General features: G+C 44.6%; 1 long non-coding RNA gene and 1 pseudogene across 5 annotated transcripts in view, besides 1 other annotated feature; both read right to left on the bottom strand.

Moving 5' to 3' along the window:
- Positions 1-24,247, bottom strand: part of LOC124902439 (uncharacterized) — an 820,351-nt gene that overhangs the window by 700,127 nt on the left and 95,977 nt on the right. For 4 of the 5 annotated variants that reach the window (XR_007062161.1, XR_007062160.1, XR_007062164.1 and 1 more), the window contains exon 2: positions 2,436-2,544. This is a non-coding gene — a long non-coding RNA (uncharacterized LOC124902439). Of the gene's footprint in view, positions 1-990; positions 2,545-24,247 lie in introns of those variants that run through there. The other variant, XR_007062159.1, reaches the window with a different exon arrangement.
- Positions 16,001-16,170: a silencer, noted in NCBI's record as "silent region_2412". NCBI's record gives its function as "represses an Ori minimal core promoter by ATAC-STARR-seq in GM12878 lymphoblastoid cells {active_cell/tissue: GM12878}" and the evidence as "EXISTENCE:reporter gene assay evidence [ECO:0000049][PMID:35858748]".
- LOC100420828 (nuclear pore associated protein 1 pseudogene) lies at positions 16,196-19,091 on the bottom strand (annotated as a pseudogene).

Raw genomic sequence — 24,247 nt, 5'->3', positions numbered from 1 at the left:
TCCTTTGTATTCTAAGATTATAAACAGCATCTCTTACACTTTTTTCTAACCCATCATAATTTTGTTTTTAATAGCTAGTATCTGAAATTCATTTTTGAGATGGCTTGAGTTGAGGATCTTAGCATTTCCTGCAGACATACAGCCAAGACCTCAACTACATGTATTGAGGAGTCTGTTATCTCCCAACTTTGCATTCTTTTTTCCCTTCTATGAACTCTCCCTCAACCATCTGCCTCCATGGTTCCAATAACCAAGTAAGCATTGATAATGCCAAAGTCTTTCTCTAGCCAAGGATGGCAACTCCATGGACTCCTCTTTTTCACCTACGCATGTTCCTGTCATTCAATCTAATGGCAAATATTTCTAAATATGCACAAAATCTAACCACAGCTTACCAGCTATACCACTTTCACTGTGTCAAAGTCATCATGACCCATAATTTGGACTCCTGCCTTAGCCTCCTGACTGGTTTCCCTGCTTATCACCCCAGCAAATTAGAATAATCCTGTTAAAACTTACATCAGATCATGTCATCCTTTGCCATAAACTCTCCAAACATTCCCATCTCCAGTAAAAAGCAACCGTCTTAAAGCAGCCTCAAAGGCCCTACCTGACCTAGGTGCCCCCTGCCCATTCTGTCCCCTTTACTTCCACTCTCCCACTTGCTGACCCCATCCCAGACCCATTAACTGCTCCTGAGAACACCAGCTGTTCTTCCTATGGGCTTTGCAGTGGTTACTCCTGATACCTGAAATGCTTTTCCCTCCAACACCTGTGTGGCTCACTTGATTACCTCCTTCTGAACTTGGCTCAAATCTCACCATCTCAGGAAGCCTTGCATTGCCCACCCTGTTTAAATTGAAACCTGTGCTTTTCCCTACTCCCATCCCAATCCCCATGTACTGCTCTTGTTACCGGCTCCATAGCATTTGTTACCTGCTAATCTACGACATCACTTATTTATTATATTTCTTTTTTTATTTCCTCCCCTCCAAATGGAATATAAGCTCTATAAAGGCAGGGATTTTTACCTTTTTGTGATTGATTCTACTACCACAGAGTGGTCCTTAGCACATCCCAGATATTCAATAATGTGTTAAACAATGAGTAAATGAACTTCCTTCTGAATATTACCCAGATCTTCCACAGGTACCTCACACTATTAACACTGAACTTACCGTATTTTTGCCCAAACTACCCATGTCCACCTTACCCACACAAGATTACTAGAATAGGCCTGGTCTCATTACAGTTACCTATGTCACCTTCCTCTACTATGACCTCCTTGCCATCTCACTGTCAGCTCCTGAAGACCAGGAGCTCATTGCCTCATCTTTGCTTGGTTCACTGCAGTTTCCCACAAGCCTCTTTGCCTCTGTTCTGGCTCCCATTTAATTCTTGCTCCTCATGCAGCCACCAGCATGTTGCTAAAATCTACATATAATCTTGTCCTTTGTTGGCTTACAATTCTTTCACGACTCCCCTTACTTTCAGGATAATGAACAAATGCCCCATCATGGTATTGTTACCAGTGGTGAATCTGTACGGGTCTTCAGCAAACTTGATACTTGCCTCCTTGGAGGAAAGAATTTGGCTGAGGGGCACAAGTAGGATTAAGTCAGAGGGAGAGACCAAGGCAAGTTTCAGGGCAGGAGTGAGAGTTTACTAAAATGTTTTAGAGCAGGAGCAAAAGGAAGCAAAGTACACTTGGAAGAGGGCCAAGCAGGCAACTTAAGAGGTCCAAGTGTCTAGTTCAGCCTTTGACTTGGGGTTTTATACATTGACATGGCTCTGGGGTTTTCTTTTCTCCTCCATTGAATCTTCCCTTGGGGCAGTCTGTTGCTCAACTACTGCATGTGCAATGTCGGTCAGCATTTGGGAGGGTGACCACATGTACAGTGCATTTACTAAGATTGGGCACATACTCTCTGGGGGCAAACACCCCCAGGGGAACATCATACATCAGTCATTTTGCTTCTTAGTTCACATGCTTCAGCCCACTTGCCCAGCTTCTGAGATCTTATTGGGAAGTTGCTGATCACCAGCTCTAGGTGTTTTCTGTCTACTGGGAGACTGTCTTACCCTGGAGCCAGCTGCAACCAATTATCATTTCAGAGAGACAGTTTAAAAACCACCTGACATCACGTGATGGTCGCCTGACATTCCTGGGGTGGGGGGTCCTCCCCTGCCTTCCTCACATCTGCCTAACTACCTACTCTAACATTCCTGCCCCCAAGAGTCCAAGACCCAATTCTTTGGGAAAATGGACAAAGGTCAGTCTTCTGTAACTGCTTCCTGCTGTCAGAGGGGTGGTAGTCGTTGTTCTGTGTGTCTTGGCCTCTTGCTAGCTGTCAAGGCAGGGTGACTGTGTGGGTGAATCTGTTGGTGAAAATGGTATCCAGCCAGGTCAGAAGGAGACAGGGGCAGGATTTTACCTCTCTCATATTCCACTGATGGGCAGTCTAGGGCTTCTCTGTGGAAGGGTGACTCTTGAATACTGAGAGAGCGGTATCCCTCACTGAGGATCATCTGGAGCTTGATGGCCTGAAGACAAGAGGAGACAAATTGGGTATTAGATTTAGAAGACATGGACCAAAAAGGAGCAAAAGTAGGAGACTAACAAGTGGGCCTAAAAATGGAAGAACCCAGAAGAATCATTACCAGGTTCCATCCCAATCTAACCAACCCTGAGAGGCTCATTCTCGTAAACAGGAGGGTCAATTTATGAGTTGTCTGATGTTGTCTTGTACTTTTCCCAATTGGCCGACCCCAAAGCAACATTTTTCATCTAAGGCTAAACAAATTCCTCCCTGTTCTGCCATTAACATATCTAGCTCTCGGCAATTTTGGAGGACTACAGCTGATAAAAAGTCCATTTGTTCTTGCATGGCTGTTGAGGTTTTAACCATGGTATAATATTGTTGGCTACTTCCACTGAGAGTTGGCTATAGGTCAAGGCTTGTGTGACTCCAACAATTCTGGTGTATCAGCTATAATGCTAAGTCCCGTGAGAAGGGGACTTAATTTCATGGCCCTCTTCATCTTGGGCAAGATGTAATGCCCATAGATTGGTACTGGAAGAGAGAGATTGCCAGGGGCTATGAAGATGTCCAGGGATACATAGCCTATGGTACAAGTTCCAGTCCAATTAGTGGGGAGGCATTGGTGAACTAACTGGTCACAAATATAGTGACTCCTCACGTCTTAAGACAAGTAAAGATGTCAAAATGAAATAAAATTCTGACTCTTTCCAGCATAGGTAAGGGTCATAGCTAACTCCATATGTCCCCAGGTTTTACATAGACTTTAATGACTTTAAAGTAGGCAAGCTGTACAGTTATTAAGAGTCACAGTAGCAGTTTATGACCTTAAAGTATTTAGTAGCCCTAATAACCTTTAAAATCATACAGCATTTCTTTCATAAATTCCCTTTCACAAATCTTCTCATGACTTATACAGACCATCTACAACATGCTCGGACTTTCTGACTTGTCCTAAACATCCCTCTTTTTTAAACCAGTCATTTTGCTTTTGGACAAGAATTTGCCATGCAAGATCCTTTCTCATATAAAATTTCTTTTCTTTATAACTTTCCTTACCAAAAATACCTCTACTTTCATAACCTTTGAATTAGACAAAAGCCATTTTCCTACTGTTAGGAAGTTATGGTTTGTACTACATGTTGCTGTGTGAGTCCTGTGAAGGGGGAGCAGGTGGGGAGGTTATCTATATACTGTAGAAGTTATCATCCCTCAAGAGATTGCTCAATTAGATTTCTTGTTAGGGCTTTTCTGAATAAGATTGGGCTATTTCTATACCCCTGAAGTAGGACTGTCCAGATTGAAGTTATTGGTTAAAGATTTAGGTAGCTTTCCCAGAAGAAATAGGGTTATTAGCGGGAAAGATGAATTCAGAGGTTGGGCAAATATTAAGCAGGCACCCATCTTGAAAAGTATATTTTTGCCAAAAGGGGTTGGGCGTATTTAGACATTAACAGGGACTGCTGGAAGAATGGTAATTGATCCCTTAAATAATATAAAGGGATGTAAATCTTTTTTCTTTGGAGGGAGGGCATGCCATTTGCCCCTATTACCCGACAGTATTTGAAAGAGTTGCTCAGAGAAGATTAGCACTAAGTAGGCAGCTCTTGAACACAAGAGGGAAATTTATAATTTTATTTGTAGCCTCTAGAGTTGCCCTTGGATTTGTTCCTTTTGATCAGAATGGAGAACCCCTTCAACTCAAGGCCTTTATTGGATTGAAGTCTGGCCTGTGGGCATTTCTGACTCTCAGGACAGTCCTTTTTCCAGTGGCTGAGCTTGTGGTAGAGGGGACAGGCCTTGTGGAGCTTTTTTCCACTTAGCCCATTGAGGCATTTTACCTTCCAGTGGCCTGGTTTTCTGCATCAATGGCAGTTCTCTGGAGTAGTGTCCTAAGGGCAACCTGGAGGGACCTGGAGAGCTTGTAAAGCAGCCAATAGTTGAACCTCACTTTTGTCCCTACATTTCTCCTTCTCCTTAACCCTGTCCTCCTTATTCTGCTCTTGGTTATAAAACACTCAGGATGCTAACTTGAGGATTTCCTGCATATGGGCTCTGGGTTCTAAGGCTGACTTTTGTAATTTTCTCCCAATTCATTTTTAGGCTAAACAGTATTACAAAGGAACACCAGTTTTTTATTTTAAGCTTGTGTGGCGGCAGGGGCAGTGTGAAGCTTTTCCCGGTTTTTGAGGATGCATCAAGGGATGTGTCCTATGGTATGGAGACACAATTACCTATCTGCGAAGAGCGAACAGAGGAGACAAGAGGGAAAGAAGGTGTCCCCTCTAGTTTCCCTACTATCTTTTTCCTGGACTTATGGCAGACCAGAGTGAACAGGGTATCCCCATTCATCCTAGGGGTTCCAGATGAACCGCTGCTTATCAGGTACCCCTAACCTTGGTCCCACCTTGTTTTAAGGAGGTGTGATTAGCCATTTTTGAAGAGAGAACAGAGAGAAAAGAGAAGAAGGCGGCATCCCCCTCCTTGTTCCCTTAATCCTGTGCCTATCACAAACTGGAGTGAACACAGTGCCCCCCATTCATCTTAGGGGTTCTTGAAAGGACTGGTGCTTACCAGGTACCCCTAACCCTGGTCCCATCCTATTTCTGGGACCAACCTTCATCTGTATTCTAGTGGTAATCTGTTTTGCACCTATAGCCTGGGACTAGCCTTCATCTCTGCTCTATAGGTACTCTGGTCTCTTGCACCTGTGGCCTTGGGGTAGCCTATATCCTTGTCTCCAGGACCTTATAGTGACTCTTATTCGAGCATTCTAGCAATAAAATGATCATCTCTTTTCTCATATTCCCATTTCCCATGTTCTTTAAGTAGATGAGAAGTCTGTTTTTCAGCCAACTGCCACAAGGGGGCTGGACGGCCCCCCCTTCAAATATAATCTTGAAAGTCCTGATGCATATTGAGAAAGATGTAGAAGTGATTAGAGAAGAGGAGGAAAATTTTTATTTGGGGTTGTCTTCTGGGATAACATGCAGAACAAATGCTTAAACAGATAGAACAATCCCTCTGCTACCAGAGGAAGCAGGAGGAAGCCAGAGGGATGCTCATGGAAAGACTCTATATGCTCGCAAAAACAGCAGCCCTTAGATTTGGAGGGCAATGTTTATTTGCCTTCTCGACATAAAAGAGGAACCTCTGGAGAACTTGTAGCCTGGGATAAGGGCTCACAGATGACAAAGGAAGAATTCTCCTTCCTTCAAAAAGGTGATAACTCAAAAAAGCGGATAGGTGGTGTCCTTAAAGGGCCATAAAGTGAAGTCCTATGCAGGTAGACAAATAGCTTCAAAAACCACCAAAAAACCTGACCCTGGAGTATAACAGGGACAAAAAGCATATGGTAAGTCACAAGGAGCTGGCAGAGCCAGGGTTCCAATTAGTGTCTGTCCTGACAATGAGCCAACAGACAGGGGAAGGGCTGAAGGTCATCTGAGCTGGAAGAGTAAAACCAAGTATAAATCCCATGGGATATCCACAATGGAGCCCATGTCTTGGTTGCCAGGCAAACCCAGCAAGAGCCATGGGCACAGGAACAACAAATGGAGTGTGTGTTAAGGTAGAGAAGGAAGTCGCACAGCATGCAAAGTGAAAGCAGAGAAAAGGCAGACTTGCTCCCAATGCAGATGGTCCAGCGGGTGTGCAAGGCCATTTCAGAATACACACAGAGAAAACAGGAGAATGGGCAGTGCCGCTTTTTGGGAAAGAGCCTGTTTTAGTTGAAGAATCAGAGGAAACCCCAGACATTACATGGCCTTAGGCTTTAGCCCTACCACTCTCGTAAGCCTCCTGTCCAGGAGGGCCATTAGTGTCTCAGGTCTACTCAGTGCAGACTCTAAGGTCCTTCCCACCCCTGCAAGCCTTTCAGAGTGAGCTGAGAGATCAGCTGTGGGGAGCAGAGCTATTGCAGCTAAGAGGAAATGTTCTGGGAGTGGTCAGTAAGCAAGAGAGTAAAAGGGGTGAAGGAAACCACATACAGGGGTTGAATGCCTCCAGCTGAAGAAGGCAAGGTGTAGAGACATCTTACCTCTTGAGAATGTATCCAAGTCATGGCAACAAAATATGTTACCAGCCATCAACCCATACAGATCTGCAGCAGATTTGATCCTTGCCTTCTCAGAGGAAAGAATTTGGCTGAGGAGTGAAGTAGGTTTAAGGCACAGGGAGAGACTGAGACAAGTTTAAGAGTAGGAGTGAGAGTTTATTAAAATGTTCTAGAGCAGGAGCAAAAGGAAGCAAATTACCCTTGGAAGAGGGCCAAGCAGGCAACTTGAGAGATCCAAGTACCCCATTTAGCCACTGACTTTGGGATTTGTAAATTGGCATGGTTCTGGGGTTTTCTTTTCCCTTCCCTTGATTCTTCCCTTGGAGCAGGCTGTTGCTCAAATGCCTCATAAGCAATGTCAGTCAGCATTAGAGAGGGTGGCCACATGCATAGCGCATTTACTGATGTTGTGCGCATGCTTTCTAGGGCCAACTTCCCTTTACTGGTCAAATGCCCCTGGAGGAAGGTCAGACATCAGCCATTTTGCTTCTCAGTGCACATGCTTGAGCCTGCTTGCCCAACTTCTGAGATCTTATCAGGAAGCTTCTGATCACCAGCTCCAGGTGTTTTCTATCTATTGGGAGGCTATTGTCCCCAGGTGCCAGCTGTGACCAATTATCATATCAGAGACACAGTTTAACAACTGCCTGACCATTGCCTGATGGTCATCAGACATTCCTGCGAGTGGGGTTGGGGGGCCTCTCCTGCCATGCTCATGTCTGCCTAATTACCTACTCTAACAGTATATACGTTTGTCCACGATCTGTCCTGGCTGAGCTCTGCAGCTGTACCTCCCAGACCAGATTCACTGATCAACTACACATAACTATTTGCCAGGGGTCCCACTGTATATTCATCCATTTTGCATTGCTATAAAGAAATACCTGAGACTGGGTAATTTATAAAGAAAATAGATTTGTTTGGCTGCAGGCTGTACAAGGATGGCACCAGCATCCGCCTGGCTTCTGATGAGGCCTCAGGAAGCTTACAGTTATGGTGGAAGGTGAAGTGGGAGCAGACATGTCACATGGTAAGAACAGGAGCAAGAGAGAAGGAAGCAAGAGAGAGGAGAGGAGGTACCATGCTCTTTTAAAGAACCGGCTCTCACGTGAACTGATAGAGTGAAAACTCACTCATTATCACAAGGACAGCACCAAGCCATTCATGAAGAATCTGCCCCCATGACCCAAACATCTCCCACCAGTCCCCACCTCCAACATTGGGGAACACATTTCAATATGAGATTTGGAGGGGACTGTATTAGTCTGTTTTCATGCTGCTGATAAAGACATACCCAAGTGTTGGGAGCAGGCCCCCCAAAATCTGGCCATAAACTGGCCCAAAAACTGGCCATAAACAAAATCTCTGCAGCACTGTAACATGTTCATAACTGCCCTAATGCCCAAGCTGGAAGATTGTGGGTTTACATGAATGAGGGCAAAGAACACCTGGTGCACCCAGGGTGGAAAACTGCTTAAAGGCATTCTTAAGCCACAAACAATAGCATGAGCAATCTGTGCCTTAAGGACATGCTCCTGCTGCAGGTAACTAGCCCAACCTATTCCTTTAATTTGGCCCATCCCTTCATTTCCCATAAGGGATACTTTTAGTTAATTTAATATCTATAGAAACAATGCTAATGACTGGTTTGCTGTTAATAAACACATGGGTAAATCTCTGTTCAGGGTTCTCAGCTCTGAAGGCTGTGAGACTCCTGATTTCCCACTTCACACCTCTATATTTCTGTGTGTGTGTCTTTAATTACTCTAGCGCAGCTGGGTTAGGGTCTCCCCAACTAAGCTGGTCTCAGCACCCAAGACTGGGAAGAAAAAGAGGTTTAATTGGACTTACAGTTCCACATGGCTGGGGAGGCCTCAGAATCATGGCTAGAGGCAAAAGTACTTCCTACATGGTGGCAGCAAGAGAATATGAGGAAGAAGCAAAAGCAGGAACCCCTGATAAACCCATCAGGTCTCATGAGACTTATTCACTATCATGAAAATAGCACGGGAAAGACCAGCCCCCATGATTCAATTACCTCCCCCAAGGTCCCTCCCACAACATGTGGGAATCCTGGGAGATAAAATTCAAGTTGAGATTTGAATGGGGACACAGCCAAACCATATCATTCTGCCCCTGGCCCCTCCCAAATCTCATGTCCTCACATTTCAAAACCAATCATGCCTTCCCAACAGTCCCCCAAAGTCTTAACTCATTTCAGCATTAACCCAAAAGTCCACAGTCCAAAGTCTCATCTGAGAAAAGGCAAGTCCCTTCTGCCTATGAGCCTGTACAATCAAAAACAAGCTAGTTACTTCCTAGATACAATGGGGGTACAGGTATTGGGTAAATACGGCCATACAAAATGGGATAAATTGGCCAAAACAAAGGGGTTACAGGGCCCGTGCAAGTCCAAAATCCAGCAGGGCAGTCAAATTTTAAAGCTCCGAAATGATCTCCTTTGACTCCAGGTCTCACATCCAGGTCGTGCAGATGCAAGAGGTAGGTTCCCTTGGTCTTGGGCAGCTCTGACCCTGTAGCTTTGCAAGGTACAGGCTCCCTCCTGGCTGCTTTCAGGGGCTGGCATTGAGTGTCTGTGGCTTTTCCAGATGCATGGTGCAAGCTGTCAGTGAATCTACCATTCTGGAGTCTGGAGGACAGTGGCCCTTTTCTCACCGCTCCACTAGGCAGTGCCCCAGTAGGGACTCTGTGTGGGAGCTCTGACCCCACATTTTCCTTCCATACTGCCCTAGCAGAGGTTCTCCATGAGGGCCCCACCCCTGCAGCAAACTTTTGCCTGGGCACCCAGGCATTTCTATACATCTGAAATCTAGGTGGAGGTTCCCAAACCTCAATTCTTGACCTGTGCACCCACAGGCTCAACACCATGTGGAAGCTGTCAAGGCTTGGGACTTCCACCCTCTGAAGCCACAGCCCAAGCTCTACGTTGGCCCCTTTCAGTCATGGCCGGAGCAGCTGGGACACAGGGCACCAAGTCCCTAGGCTGCACACAGCACGAGGACCCTGGGCCCGGCCCACAATACAACTTCTTCCTACTGGGCGTCTGGGCCTGTGATGGGAGGGGCTGCCATGAAGGTTATTGACATGGCCTGGAGACATGTTCCCCATGGTCTTGGGGTTAACATTAGGCACCTTGCTACTTATGCAAATTTCTGCTCACGTCTTGAATTTCTCCTTAAAAAATGGGTTTACAGAGGCCTCAGAAATAACACCACACATCTACAACCATCTGATCTTTGACAAACCTGACAAAAACAAGCAACAGGGAAAGGATTGCCTATTTAATAAATGGAGTTGGGAAAACTAGCTAGCCATATGGAGAAAACTGAAAGTGGACCCCTTCCTTACACCTTATACAAAAATTAACTCAAGATGGATTAAAAACTTAAACATAAGACCTAAAACCATAAAAACCCTAGAAGAAAACCTAGGCAATACCATTCAGGACATAGGCATGGGCAAAGACTTCATGCCTAAAACACCAAAAGCAATGGCAACAAAAGCCAAAATTGACAAATGGGATCTAATTAAACTCAAGAACTTCTGCACAGCAAAAGAAACTATCATCAGAGTGAACAGGCAACCTACAGAATGGGAGAAAATTTTTGCAATCTATCCATCTGACAAAGGGCTAATATCCAGAATCTACAAGGAACTTAAACAAATTTAAAGAAAAAAAAAAACAACCCCATCAAAAAGTGGGCAAAGGATATGAACAGACACTTCTCAAAAGAAGACATTTATGCAGCCAACAAACATGAAAAAAAGCTCATCATCACTGGTCATTCGAGAAATGCAAATCAAAACCGCAATGAGATACCATCTCATGCCAGTTAGAATAGTGATCATTAAAAAGTCAGGAAACAACAGGTGCTGGAGAGGATGTGGAGAAATAGGAACACTTTTACACTGTTGATGGGAGTGTAAATTAGTTCAACCAGTGTGGAAGACAGAGTGGTGATTCCTCAAGGATATAGAACTAGAAATACCAGTTGACCCAGCAATCCCATTACTGGGTATATACCCAAAGGATTATAAACCATGCTACTATAAAGGCACATGTACATGTATGTTTATTGTGGCACTAGTCACAATAGCAAAGGCTTGGAACCAATCCAAATGTCCATCAATCATAGACTGGATACAGAAAATGTGGCACATATACACCATGGAATCCTAGGCAGCCATAAAAAATGATGAGTTCATGTCCTTTGCAGGGACATGGATGAAGCTGGGAACCATCATTCTCAGCAAACTGCATGTTTTCACTCATAAGTGGGAGTTGAACAATGAGAACACATGGACACAGGGAGGGTAACATCACACACTGGGCCCATCGGGGGTGGGGGACCAGGGGAGGGATAGCATTAGAAGAAATACCTAATGTAGGTCATGGGTTGATGGGTGCAGCAAACCACCATGGCACATGTATACCTATGTAACAAAATTGCCCGTTCTGCACATGTACCCCAAAACTTAAAGTATAATAAAAAAAATTAAATAAAATAAAAATGGTTTTTTCTTTTCTACTGCATCATCAAGCTGCAAATTTTCTGAACATTTATGTTCTGCTTCCCTTTTAAAATGGAATGCTTTTAACAGCATCCAAGTCACCTCTTTAATGCTTTGCTGCTTAGAAATTTCTTCCACCAGATACCCTAAATCATCTCTCTCAAGTTCAAAGTTCCACAAATCTCTAGGGTAATGGCAAAATGTCACCAGTCTCTGGTAAAAGATAATAAGAGTCACCTTTGCTCCAGTTCCCAACAAGTTCCTCATCCTCAACTGAGACCACCTCAGCCTGGACCTTATTGTTCATATCACTATCAGCATTTTTCTCAAAACCATTCAACAAGTCTCTAGGAGGTTCCAAACTTTCTTGTATTTTCCTGTCTTCTTCTGAGATCTCCAAGCTGTTCCAGCCTCTGCCTGTTACCCAGTTCCAAAGTCGCTTCCACATTTTCAGGTATCTTTTCAGCAAGGCCCCACTCAACTGGTACCAATTTACTGTGTTAGTCTGTTTTCACACTGCTGATAAAGACGTACCTGAGACTGGGAAGAAAAAGAGGTCTAATTGGACTTACAGTTCCACATGACTGGGGAGGCCTCAGAATCATGACAGGAAGCGAAAGGCACTTCTTACATGACGATGGTAAGAGAAAATGAGGAAGAAGCAAAAGCAGAAACCCCTGATAAACCCATCAGATCTCATGAGACTTATTCACTATCATGAAAATAGCATGGGAAAGACCGGCCCCCATGATTCAATTACTTTTCCTAGGTCCTTCCCACAACACATGGGAATTCTGGGAGATATAATTCAAGTTGATATTTGAATGGGGACACAGCCAAACCATGTTAGGGACAAACATCCAAATCATATCACACTGGCTCAAGATCTCATATCTCTCCCGGACTTTTACATACTGTCTCCTTAACCTGGAAATAGCCCTTTTCCACCTGGCTGCTTCCTCTTCCTTAAGACACAACTCAAGTTTCTTCTACCCGAGACTTAGTTTTATGTTGTTAGTCACTCCCACTGCCCTAATACTGACCTTTCCACTTGTATTTTTGGTCTATTCCTCTGTCCTCCCTAACACGTTGTAAATTCATCTGGAAAAGAGACATCTTTCAACTTTATATCTCTAGGGCCTAGCGCAGAGTCTACTGTAGAGTCATAATGAATAAATGTGAAATAAAATCAAATGTATGGAGCTGAGGGAAATGCTTGTACTTTTCTGTCTTCTCATCTTATGTAGGTTCTCCTGTTATGACATGACTTAGAGAAGATTGCACCATCAGCAACTAAGTCTAATGGAGACACAGCAGGTCTGTAAGGTCAGCCAGATTTAAGTGAAATTATAATTCTTAAGATTTGGCATTTTAGTAGCATTAGAGCCAGACTGGTTATTTTTCTAAATAGATCCTGTCTAGATACTTCCCTGAAGAAAGGATATTTCCTGATTTTTTTAAGCAGCATGATACAACTGTAATATGTGTTATATTAACATTTTCAATCATTACAGAGCAGGTGGAAGCTCTTCCTTTCTTTGTTCTTCCAGGCCATGAGCCCAGATGCCAGGCCCATCCTTTCTGAGTATGAATGTGTGGAGATAACTGGCAGCTGTAGTCTGAATGTATCCCCCAAAATTCGTATGTTAAAGAGCAATCACCAATGTGATGGCATTAAGAGGTGGGACCTTTAGGAGGTGATTATAGGTTAGGTTCTTATGAATGGGATTAGAGCTCTTATAAAAGACCTTGCTCTTTCACTCTTCTGCCACCTGAGGACACAGTGTTTACTTTTCTTTTGCCTTTCTGTTCTTTCTGCCATGTGAGGACACCTAGGTGGCACCATCTCTGAGGAGTGGGTCTCCACCAGACACAGAACCTACCAGCACCTTGATCTTGAACTTCCCAGTCTCCGTAACTGTGAGAAATAAATTCCTGTGGTTTAAAATTAGCCAGTCTCTGGTATTTTGTTATAGAAGCCCGAATGAACTCAGACGTTGCCCTAAGTCTACATTTTTTTGTCAAATACACACACACACACACACACACACACACACACACACACACAAACATTGTTAAATGATGAAAATTGTAAAGTGTGATTTCCAAATATGCCTCAGGGATGATCTTGCCTGCAGGGAGGTCAGAGTGATGGGAGAGTAGCCAGGAGGGAGGAGGCAAGAGCAAGACGCCGGTCTCTCCATCCTCTGGACCTCATGTCCTCCTGGGTTGCCATTGCTTATATTCAAAAATGCCAACTTCAAACAACAGCATGTAAACTCATAAAGTATGGGCACTTCCACTTCTATTCACTGGCCACAGAAAACTGCACAGTTAAGTCTGGCTCAATATATCACCATTCATGCAAGTTAATTCTTCCTCCAACATTGAGTCAAAGAGCAAAGACACATGAATTAGGAAGAACAAGGCTTTATCTATCTATCTCCCCATCCATCTGTTTATCTATCTATATAATCTGGGAAAGAAAGATAAGGGCCCACTGAGACAAATGATTAAAGAGAATGGGGCAGCTGTAGGAGCAGAGGGTAAACTGCTAGTTACAAGACAAGAGGAAAACTGGCCCAGGGCTTCAGATTGCCAGGCTATTTAGGCAAAGCCAGGTATGGCTTAGTCGATGATGTGTGCAGAGCCCTCTTCTACTCTCTACAGTGGAAATTTTCAAGTCAAGTATGTGAACTTCTGACCAGCCTCATTTGCCCCACACCCTCTGACAGACATATATACCACCCCAAGGTGCTGGTCCTGCAGCTTGCTGTTAGAAGACAGACAGAGGGTTAAATTTGTTTGACATAACTCCATAAAACTGAGCCTCTTTCCATCAGAGTGATGGCTATTCACGGGGGACAGTGGTCACTGCAGCCTGCCATTTTCAAAGAAAGCTTGTGTTTCTTAATTGCACTAGGAGAAGGCAAAGGGTGGATGGCACCACATTTCCATTTGCCACAATCCCTGCTGCTAATGAAAGTGTCCCAAAGGCAAGGCTGATGTTTGCAGTGATCACATCAGAATTGGAAGTATTCTAACCAAAGGTAGGAGCAAAAGTGTCTCCAAGCACAGGTATTTTCTCAGTAGTGCTGTCTCCTCAAAAGTCAAATGGGGTACCATGGCTAGGTGACCAGGTATTCTGACTCAGACCAAAGCAGAAATGTCTCCTGAATCATGTACAGCCTTGTCCCCTCTGACTGTAACAGAAGTGTTATGTGTAATGAGTACCCCAGGAGCTCAGAATGATAGTAGGAAGAGAGGCATTTCCAAAAACAAGTTCCATGATGTCCCTTCCCATTGTACCATCTGGACTTTAACCACATGGGCTCCAGGTGCTCTGATTGTATGTGAGAACATAAGGACCTGCAAGCACAGGTATGCACTAGCTGCTGCTATTCCTAAAGATGAACTCTGATCAGGCACGCCTCAGGTGCTCTGATTGTAGGCATGAAGGAAAGTATCTCCAAGCATGAGAGGGGTGCTGATCTCTCCCACTGCAACAAGTGTGCTCTGGCCAGGGGGACCCTAGGAGCTCTGACGGAAGTTGGGAAAAGAAAAGCCCAACACAGGTGTAGTGCTGGCCCCTGTGACTGTAAGAGATATGCTCTGGCATGACGGGTCTCAGCTAATCTGACCACAAGAAGGAACAAAACTGTTGCCTGGACCTTGATTCTTCTCCATGGGACTGACTCCTCCAATAGTAACAGATGTGCATTCACCCAGCTGGCTCTGATTATAGACATGAAAGAAAGTATCTCCCAGATTTGCTCTTTGTAGAGATGGACCAGATTGCTCTAGGCCAGCAAGAACCTGGTACTCAGGTCTAGGTGTCTCAGCTCAGGAAACCAGTGTCTGCTCAGTCCTGCACCAAAGCTGAGTGGTCTAGATATGGATCTTGGACTAAGGCAGCCACACTCATCCTAAAGCTACTGCAACCCATAGAGGCCACAGATTCCATAAACACAAATGGGTCTGCAGTAGGGTTGGCAAACAGTGAACTATTGCCCCCAAGTCCTGGTGCAGACTCTAAAGCCAGAATTAGTAGCTGTACCAACTAAGAAAATGCCTGAGGTGCAACCACAAGCCAGCTGGGTGATGACAGGGATGTCAAAGGTAGAAAATGGAGACGTCAAATCCATGAAGCTGATTGAGTTGTGCTGCCATCTGGTGGTTAGGATGTGGCAGAGGTTAAATCAGGAGCTTGTGCTGAGGCTTCCTGGTTTCCAAAAGGGAAAGAGCCAACAAAGCTGGTAGCTCCAGGCTGCAGCCCATCAGGGACCTGAAATATACACAGGGGGTCAAAATGATTTTGCAAGTTGCATTAGGGCCACTAACCAACTGTGCCAATGCTGCCTCTGAGTAGCATATTATCTGAACCAGAGAGCTCCGTGGAAAATGGGAAGTATTCGCTGGAGACCAGGGAGACCAGAGATGACAGCCTGGGGAAGGAGCTTAGTATCCATATCAATTTCATCAGAGTCAGAGGTAGGATTGGATGTGGACTCTGCTGAGGTGCTGACTACAGGCATAGAGGCAACTACAGAGGCAGTGATAGGTAGGCCAGAAAAAGCAGAGGCACTGGGGAGAGTGGCTCCTGCCACTGCCCACTAGAGATCCCAAATGTGGATGAGTGATGGCTCTCAGCCCAAGGGAAGATTGAAAGTTGTGGTGGGGCTGCTGATCATAAATGCAAGTGGGCTGGTGGAGGCTGGGGCCTTTGCAGGAGATATGCGCTCCATACTGAAATGTGCCTGGACAAATGGGAGGCAGCCTCACTCTGGAGCCTGGGAACACCTATTTCTTCTCTCAGTAGTGCTGGCTCATCCAGTAGTAACAGGATTGCTCTGAATAAGTGGGCCTCAGTTACACTGACCATATGCACAAAAGAGTCTCCCAACACAGTGTGGCTGGCTCCTCTCACTGTGCCATCTGAACTTTATCCAGCAGGGGGCCACGTGGTCTCACTGTAAATGGAAATGCGTGGGCCTAAGCACAGATATGGGGCTGGCCCTGTGCTGCTACGGATGCTCTGGTCAGGTGTGTCCCAGGCGCTATGACTGTAAATATGAGTAGAGGTATCTCCAAGCACGGAAATAGTGCTGGCCCCAGTGACTACAACAAATATGCTGTGGCCAAGTGGGCCCCAGGTGCTCTGAAGAAAGGTAGAAGCAGACAGAAAAGGACCCTCAAGCACAGGTGTGGTTCTGGCCACTCCAACTGTACCAGATGTGCTCTGGCACGGTGGGTCCATGTGATATGACCACACACACAAAAAGTGTAATTTCTTCTCATTGGGGCTGACTCCTCCAGTAGTAACAGATATGCTCTCAACCAGGAGACCAGTGCTCTGACTACAGACAGGAAGAAAACTGTCTCCCAAGATCAATTGGCTCTCCATAAAAGTGCGGTCTGCAGCCTGGACAACACGGTGAAACCCTGTCTCTACTAAAAATACAAAAAATTAGCCAGGCGTGGCAGCGTGTGCCTGTAGTACCAGCTACTGCAGAGGCTGAGGTAGGAGAATTGCTTGAATCCAGGAGGCAGAGGTTGCACAGTGAGCCAAGTTCACGCCACTGCACTCCAGCCTGGGCAACAGAGCGAGACTCTGTCTCAAAAAATAAAAAATAAATAAAAAATAAAGTGGGGTCTACATTTGCAACAAGGATGCTGTGAGCCATCAGGACCATTGTGCTCAGATTTAAGCCTCTCTCAAAATGAGTTCTGGAACTGGGTGACCCCCTTGGTTCCTCACCAAAGCTGAGTGGTCTAGACATGGATCTTGGGCCTAGGGCAGCCACACTCACCCTAAAGCTGCTGCTCCCCACTGGGGCTGCAGATTCCATAAACACAAATGGGCCTGCAGTAGTCTTGGCAAGCAGTGAACTACTAGCCCCAGGGCTAGCATTCTGGTGGGGGCTCTAAAGCTAGAAGTAGTGGCTGTACCAACAGGCAAAATGTCTGAGGTGCATCCAAAGGGCAGCTGGGTGCTGAAAGGGATGCCAAAGGGAAAATAAGGATGTAAAACCCACGAAGCTTATTGATGCTGTCAGTGAGTGGCTGGGCTGCAGTGGAGGTTAAGTCTGAAGCTCTTACTGGGGCTGTCTGATGTCAATAAGTTACCAAAGCTGGTAGCTGCAAGCTTCAGCCCAGAAGGGGCTCAAATGTGGGCTAAACAGTGGCTCTTGGGCCACAATAACTTTGAAAGTTGCATTTGGGCCACTGACCAACTGTGCAGACAAACTGGTGGGAACAGGCTGAGGTAATGCTGCTCCTGGGTGACATGTTCTCAGAACCAGGGAGCTCCATGGAAAATGGGAAGATGTTCTCTCTGGAGCCTGAAGGAGAACTCAGGAAGAAAGCTTGAGAAGGGGGAGTGATGTCCATGCCAGTGACATCAAAGTTCAAAGTAGCTAAGAGTTCAACCGTGCAGACGTGCTGGTTGCAATGGAGGACATGACTGCAGAAGCAGTGATAGGCTGGTGGGAGAAGGCTGAGTACTGGCGGAGGTGACTGGGGGAGGGTATCCATGAATCCACTGGAGAGTCCATAGGTGACTCTATTCTGCAGGAGGCAAGCTAGGAGAAAATCAAGGTGCTGGCAGGTGTGAGGAGGACAGTAGTAGAAGACACTCCAGCTATGACTGAGGGATGGGAATGCAGGTCCTCTGTTCTTATTACTAAGTGGAACCCCCAAAATGAGCTTGAACCTAAAAGGAGAAAGACAGTCAGCACAAACAGCAAATGGAGAATCAGGAGAGGAATGTGCATCTCATTCTACAGTCAGTCTCTGGAGTGTGAGAAGATAGAAGGGCAGACAGGACTGGGGCCCTGGCAGACTGGTCAGCTAAGTTTGCAACTGGGAATGTTTTAACACGCAAGACCCACAAGGTGAAAGTGACCAGGGGCAGGATGTTTTCATTCCCTACAGCAGGCAGAGCAATAGAACCCACAGGCTGAGTGACACTGCAGTCCATGGTGGCTTCAGTCTTAACTTCCGATATGTTATTGAGCCATTGACACTCAGCTTTCTTCTCTAAGCTTAGGTCTTCTCTAATGACTAGACAAGGAAGCTGAGGAGGGGAGGAAGGCAGCTCACCTCCATCCCACAACAGTAGCAGTGGCGGCAGCAGCAACATTGAAATTTTCCATCAACGAGGCCTACAGCTGGCAGATGTGGGTGAAGAATTTCTCCTTGACAAGCATCTAAATGGTGTCTGGAAGCTTTTTTCCCTGCTAGTCTCCTCCAACATCAGTGAGTGGAGAGCTCTCCGACGGCCTTCATCAAGCACTGTCTCTGTCAGCCTCTTGAGCAGGGGGGAGCAGGATGAGCTCTTTGAAGACGTCTGGGCTGTCTTTACTCAAGCCGTCTTCTGGGAGCCCAGATTGGAGGTCTCAAGACAGAGACCCTCGACTGCACCGGAAAAAAGACAACAGTCCAGTGGCCTCCATAGGCCTAGATGCTGATGGCTTAGTGCTCCTACTGCCACTGTATGCTGATGATTCACCCCTGCTGCCACGGGGCCTCTTCTCTGATCCTGCCACCGTTGCTCACTAGTTGGTGTCCTCTTCCTTCGCTGTTTCTTTCCTGTCCTCTCCTAGGGCCCTTCACTCAGTCTCCTTTGGACAAGGATCTACCCAGTGATTGATGGCACCAGCCTCAAGGGACGACTAGCGGCTAAGGTGGCAAACGGAGGATGGTCTCTTTGCTCCCAGGAAGAGGGATGTTTATTGTTCCCGGGTGGCCTGATTCTTCGAAGTGGCCCATTGGAACACAGAGTGTCCCCCCCAGACACTGCTCAGAACGGAGGGCTGAGCCTGCTGCTGCACAGAGGCAAAAGCTCGCAATGCTCATAGAACAACCCGCGAACAGGGCCCAGGAGAGCTGCAGGGAACCGAGCGATCTGGCCAGGCGGAGTGGCGGGGGCGGGGGAAGGGCGGCGCAGGGACCAGTGGGCGAAGCTGCCAGTGAGTTGCCTGTGAGGAGCCGTTTGAGCTCTGTTGTAGTTGCTAGGCGCAGAGATCGCCTAGCTATCGACTCTGCTCGCAGGCGGCGCTATCCCACGCGGTGCTGGCGACAGTCACTGGAGCACGTGGCAAAGAAAGGGCGCACCAGCGAAGGGCGCCAGAGGGCAATCTTAGCCGCCCACCCGGCGTCCTGTCGAGCGCTTCGGGACCTCCTGCCTCTGAGGCAGGAGTTTGGGCTCAGGTGGGTCCCACGCTGTTGGGGACTGTTGAGGACTGCCACTGCGGAGGCCCGGACCCACAGGGCCTGCGAACCCCTCAGCGCCTGGTACGGGGCGGCAGCTTGGGAAATCAGTTCCCGTGTGTCCTCTGGTCCTTTTCCCGGAGTCACTGAGAGGCAGAACATGCTCAAAGCCAGAGCGCGAGAGCACCCCATTTCCTGACTGAATGGAGGTGGCTTGCATGCAAGGAGGGTCCAGTAAGAGGGGGAAGGGCAGGAGACAAGGGACTTTGGATCTCGTGCGGCATCTAGAACGCCTAGGGTTCCAGGATTGCAGCAGAGTATGTGCTACGGTGGGGCAGGGACCCCAAGCAGCACAGGCGCAACTACCCTAGACTTGACTGTTCCTTTCGAGTTGCCACCACAGACGACACCAGTTTATCCCCACACCTCCACCCCATGCTTCAGAGCTAGGGTCAGAGATGGGGATGCCACCTTCTCTAGGAACCTCGCGAGTGCCTGGAGTCAAGTGCGCTTCTCTTGGCCACCCTGCAAAGGCCAGATCCCAGAGTTTCATCAGCTGACACGTAAAGGACATAGATAGAAAAATACAAAAAATTAGCCGGGTGTGGTGGCGGGCACCTGTAGTCCCAGCTACTCGGGAGGCTGAGGCAGGAGAATGGCGTGAACCTGGGAGGCGGAGCTTGCAGAGAGCCGAGATCGCGCCACTGTACTCCAGCCTGGGCGACAGAGCAAGACTCTTGTCTCCAAAAAGAAAAGAAAAGAAAAGAAAATACAATAGCTTTTTACGTATTGACCTTATATATTGGGAACTTGCTAAGTTCACTTTCCACTTCTGATAGTTTCTTTGTGGATTCCTTAGGATTTTTTTACATACACGTTTCCTATAAGTAATGACAGTTTTACTCCCTCCTTTTTAATTGGTATGCCTTTTATTCCTTTTCCCTAACTTCTACATTTACAAGGACCTCCAGAAAAATGTTGAACACAAGTGGAGAAAATGAATATCCTTTTCCCGTTCCCTATCTTAAGGGGAAAGTATTCACTATGCAGCATAGTTAGGGTTTTTGTGGAAGCTCTTTATCACATTAAGGAAATTCCCACCAGTTCCTACTTTTCTGAGAGATTTTTTTGAAAGGGGTGTTAAATTTTGTCCATTTTTTTTCACAGCTGTGGAGATATTTGGCTTTTCTCCCTTATTCTCTTAATATGGTGAATTACACTGATTAATTTTTAAATGTTAAATCAACTTTGAATTCCAGACACAAACTCCACTTGGTTATATTACATCACACATTTTGATGGATTTTATTTGCTAAAATCTTGTTAAAGATTTTTATGGCTATGCCCATGAGGGATATTAATCTGTAATTTTCTTTTATTGTTAGATTTTGGTATTAGCACTTACTGGACTCTAGATTGACTTAGGAAAAGTTGTCTCTGTGCTATTTTCTGAAAAAATTCATCTAACACTGGTAAGATACAATAGCGTCCTTATGCGTTTGACAGAATTCACCAGGAAACCTATGTGGATTTGCAGTTCTCTTCCTGGGAAGATTTCTGTAGTCCTTTACTATCCTTAAATTTCTGGAAGATATATCATGATGCTCCCCATTTTTATGCCTGATATTAGTAATTTGAGTTCCCTCTTGTCATTCCAAATAGGAAGATCAGTCTTGCTAGAGATTACCAGTTTTATTTTGTTTGGAAAATAAAAAACACACAACTTTTAGCTTTGTCATTTTCTCTATTGTGTATTTTCTTCTATTCTTTCCTTATTGCTACTTGCTTTGGATTTAACATGCTCATCTAGTTTTTTCTATTGTATGGAAACTTAAATTACTGACTTTTACATTTCTCTTGCTTTTTAATAAAATAAAGCTACAATATTCCCTTAAGCACTACTTTAGCTGTATCCCACAAATTTTTATTTGCTGTGTTTTACTTAGTTCAAGATATTTTCTCATTTTTCTTGTCATTTTCTCTTTGACCAATTGTTTATGTAAAAGTGTGTTTTGCTTAATTTCCAAATATGAAGATTTTCAAGATACCTTAATTGCCATTGATTTCTAATTTAATTCCACCAGGGCCAATTTTAAGTTTCCAATCCTTTGAAATTTTTAATACTTTTTTTTTGTTCAGCTTAGTCGTATCTTCATCAACATTCCATATGTACTTGAGAAATTACGTTCAGCTATTCTTGAGGATAGTATTTCCAAATCTCAATTAGATCAACTTACGCCTTCTATACTCTTGTTTGTTAGCTACTTGCTTTAATAATGGATGAGAAAGAGATATTAAAATCCCCTACTATGATTGTAATATGTCTACTTATTGCCTTAGTTTGGTCAGTTTTTGCCTCATGTATTTTGAAGGTCAGCTAAGTGCATAAACTTTTAAGAAGTTTATCTCTTCCAAATAAATTGACCTTTTTACTATTGGGACATGTTTCTTTTTATAGCCAGTAGTAATTCTTGTCTTCAAGTCTGATTTGTCTGATATTAATTTATCCATACCATCTTCATTATCTTTAGAGTGACTAGCATCCTGGTTCACCAAAGAATATCCTGCTTTAAGCAATGAAAATCTCACGTCTGGAGAATCCCTCAGTCCTGAACAAAATGGATGGTTGGTCACCCTAGCTATCTAGTACTTGCATGGTATCTTTTTCTATCATTTCATTTTCAACAAATCTATGTTTTTATATTTAGAGAGTACCTCATTTAGATTGCATAGTTGGGTCTTGCTTTTTTCATCCAATTAATCAACCTCTGCCCTTTAAATGGATTTTTAAAATACTTTCAACTTTTATTTTAGACTCGGGATATATGTGCAGGTTTGTTATATGGGTATGTTGCATGATGCTGAGGTTTGAGACACAAATGATCCCATCATCCAAATAGTGACCATAGTACTCAATACTTTTTCAACCCTTGTGATATGGTTTGGCTATGTCCCCACCCAAATCTCATCTTGAATTGTAGCTCCCATGATTCCCAAGTGTTGTGGGAGGGACCTGGTGGGAGATAATTGAATCATCGGGGCGGTTTCCCCCATACTGTTCTCGTGGTAGTGAGTAAGTCTCATGAGATCTGATGGTTTTATAAGGGGAAACCCCTTTTGGTTGGTTTTCATTCTCCCGTCTGCTGCCATGTAAGACATGCCTTTTGCCTTCCACCATGATTGTGAGGCCTCCCCAGCCACATGGAAAGTGAGTCCACTACACCTCTTTTTTTTTTTTATGAATTACCCAGTCTCAGGTATGTCTTTGTCAGTAGCATGAAAATGGACTAATACACCTTGTTCCTCCTCCCTTTCTCCCCGTTGTGTTCCCCAATGTCTATTACTGCCATCTTCACGTCCATGTGTACCCAGAGTTTATCTCCTACTTATAAATTAGAACATGTGCTATTTGGTTTTCTGTCCCTGCATTAATTCGCTTAGGATAATGGCTTCCAGCTGCATCCATAATTTTATTCTTTTTTATGGCTGCATAATAGTTCCTGGGGTACACATACTAAATGTTCTTTATCCAATCAACCGTTGATGGACACCTAAGTTTATTCCATGTCTTCGGAATTGTGAATAGTGCTCTGATGAACATACAAATGGATGTCTCTTTTTTATTTTCCTTTGGATACATACCCAGTAATGAGATTGCTGAGTCAAATGGTGTTTCCATCTTCAGATCTTTGAGGAATTGCCACACTGTCTTCCACAATGGTTAAAATCTTACCAACAGTGTGTAAGTGCTCCTTTTTCTCCACAACCTCACCATCATCTGTTATTTTTTGACTCCTTAATAATAGCCATTCTGAGTGATGTGAGATGAGGTTTTTTCATATGTTTGTTGGCCACTTGTGTGTTTTCTTTTGAGAAATGTCTATTCATTTCCTTTGCCCACTTTTAGTGGGGTTATTTGGTTTTTGCCTGTTGAAATGTTTAAGTTCCTTATAGAATCTGCATATTAGGTCTTTATTGGCTACATAGTTAGCAAATATTTTCTCCCATTGCAGAGGTTGCCTGTTTACTCTGATGATAGTTTGTTTTACTGTGCAGAAGCCTTTTAATTAGGTCCCAATTATCAATTTTTTGTTTTGTTACAATTGCTTTTGAAGACTTAGTCATAAATTCTTTCCCAAGGCCAATGCTGATAATGGTGTTTCCCAGGTTTTCTTCTAGGATTCTTACAGTTTGAGGTCTTATATTTAAATCTTTAATCCATATTAACTTTTATATGGTGAAAGGTAGGGGTCCAAGTTTCCTTCTTCTGCATATAGCTGGCCAGTTATCCCAGCATCATTTATTGACTAGGCAGTACTTTACCCATAGCTTATTTTTGTCAACTTTGTCAAAGACCAGATAGCTGTAGGTGTGCAGCTTTATATCTGGGTTCTTCATTCTGTTCCACTGGTCTATGTGTCTGTTTTTGTACCAGTACCATGTAGTTTTGGTTACCATAGCTTTGTAGTATAATTTGAAGTTGGGTAATGTGATGCCTCCACTTTGTTCTTTTTGCATAGGATTGCTTTGGCTATTTGGGATCTTTTTTGGTTCCATCTGAACTTTAGAATAGTTTTTACTAACTCTGGAAAAAAACTATATTAGTAGTTTGATAGGAAGAGCATTGAATCTGCAGATTGCTTTGGGTAGTATGCCCATTTTAAGAATATTGATTCTTCCAATCCATGAGCATGGGCCATTTTTCCATTTGCGTCATCTATGCAATGCTTTGTAGTTCTCCTTGTAGACATTTTTCACCTCCTTAGTTAGATGTATTCCTAGATATTTTTGTGTGTGTGGCTATTGTAAAAGGGATTATGTTCCTGATTTGGCTCTCAGCTTGAACATTATTGGTGTATACAAATGCTACTGTTTTTCATTATGTTCATTTTGTATCCTTAAACTT

Source organism: Homo sapiens, chromosome 10 (genome assembly GCF_000001405.40).
Source record: "Homo sapiens chromosome 10, GRCh38.p14 Primary Assembly".
Taxonomy (NCBI): domain Eukaryota; kingdom Metazoa; phylum Chordata; class Mammalia; order Primates; family Hominidae; genus Homo; species Homo sapiens.
This window is presented reverse-complemented; position numbering and strand designations above follow the sequence as displayed.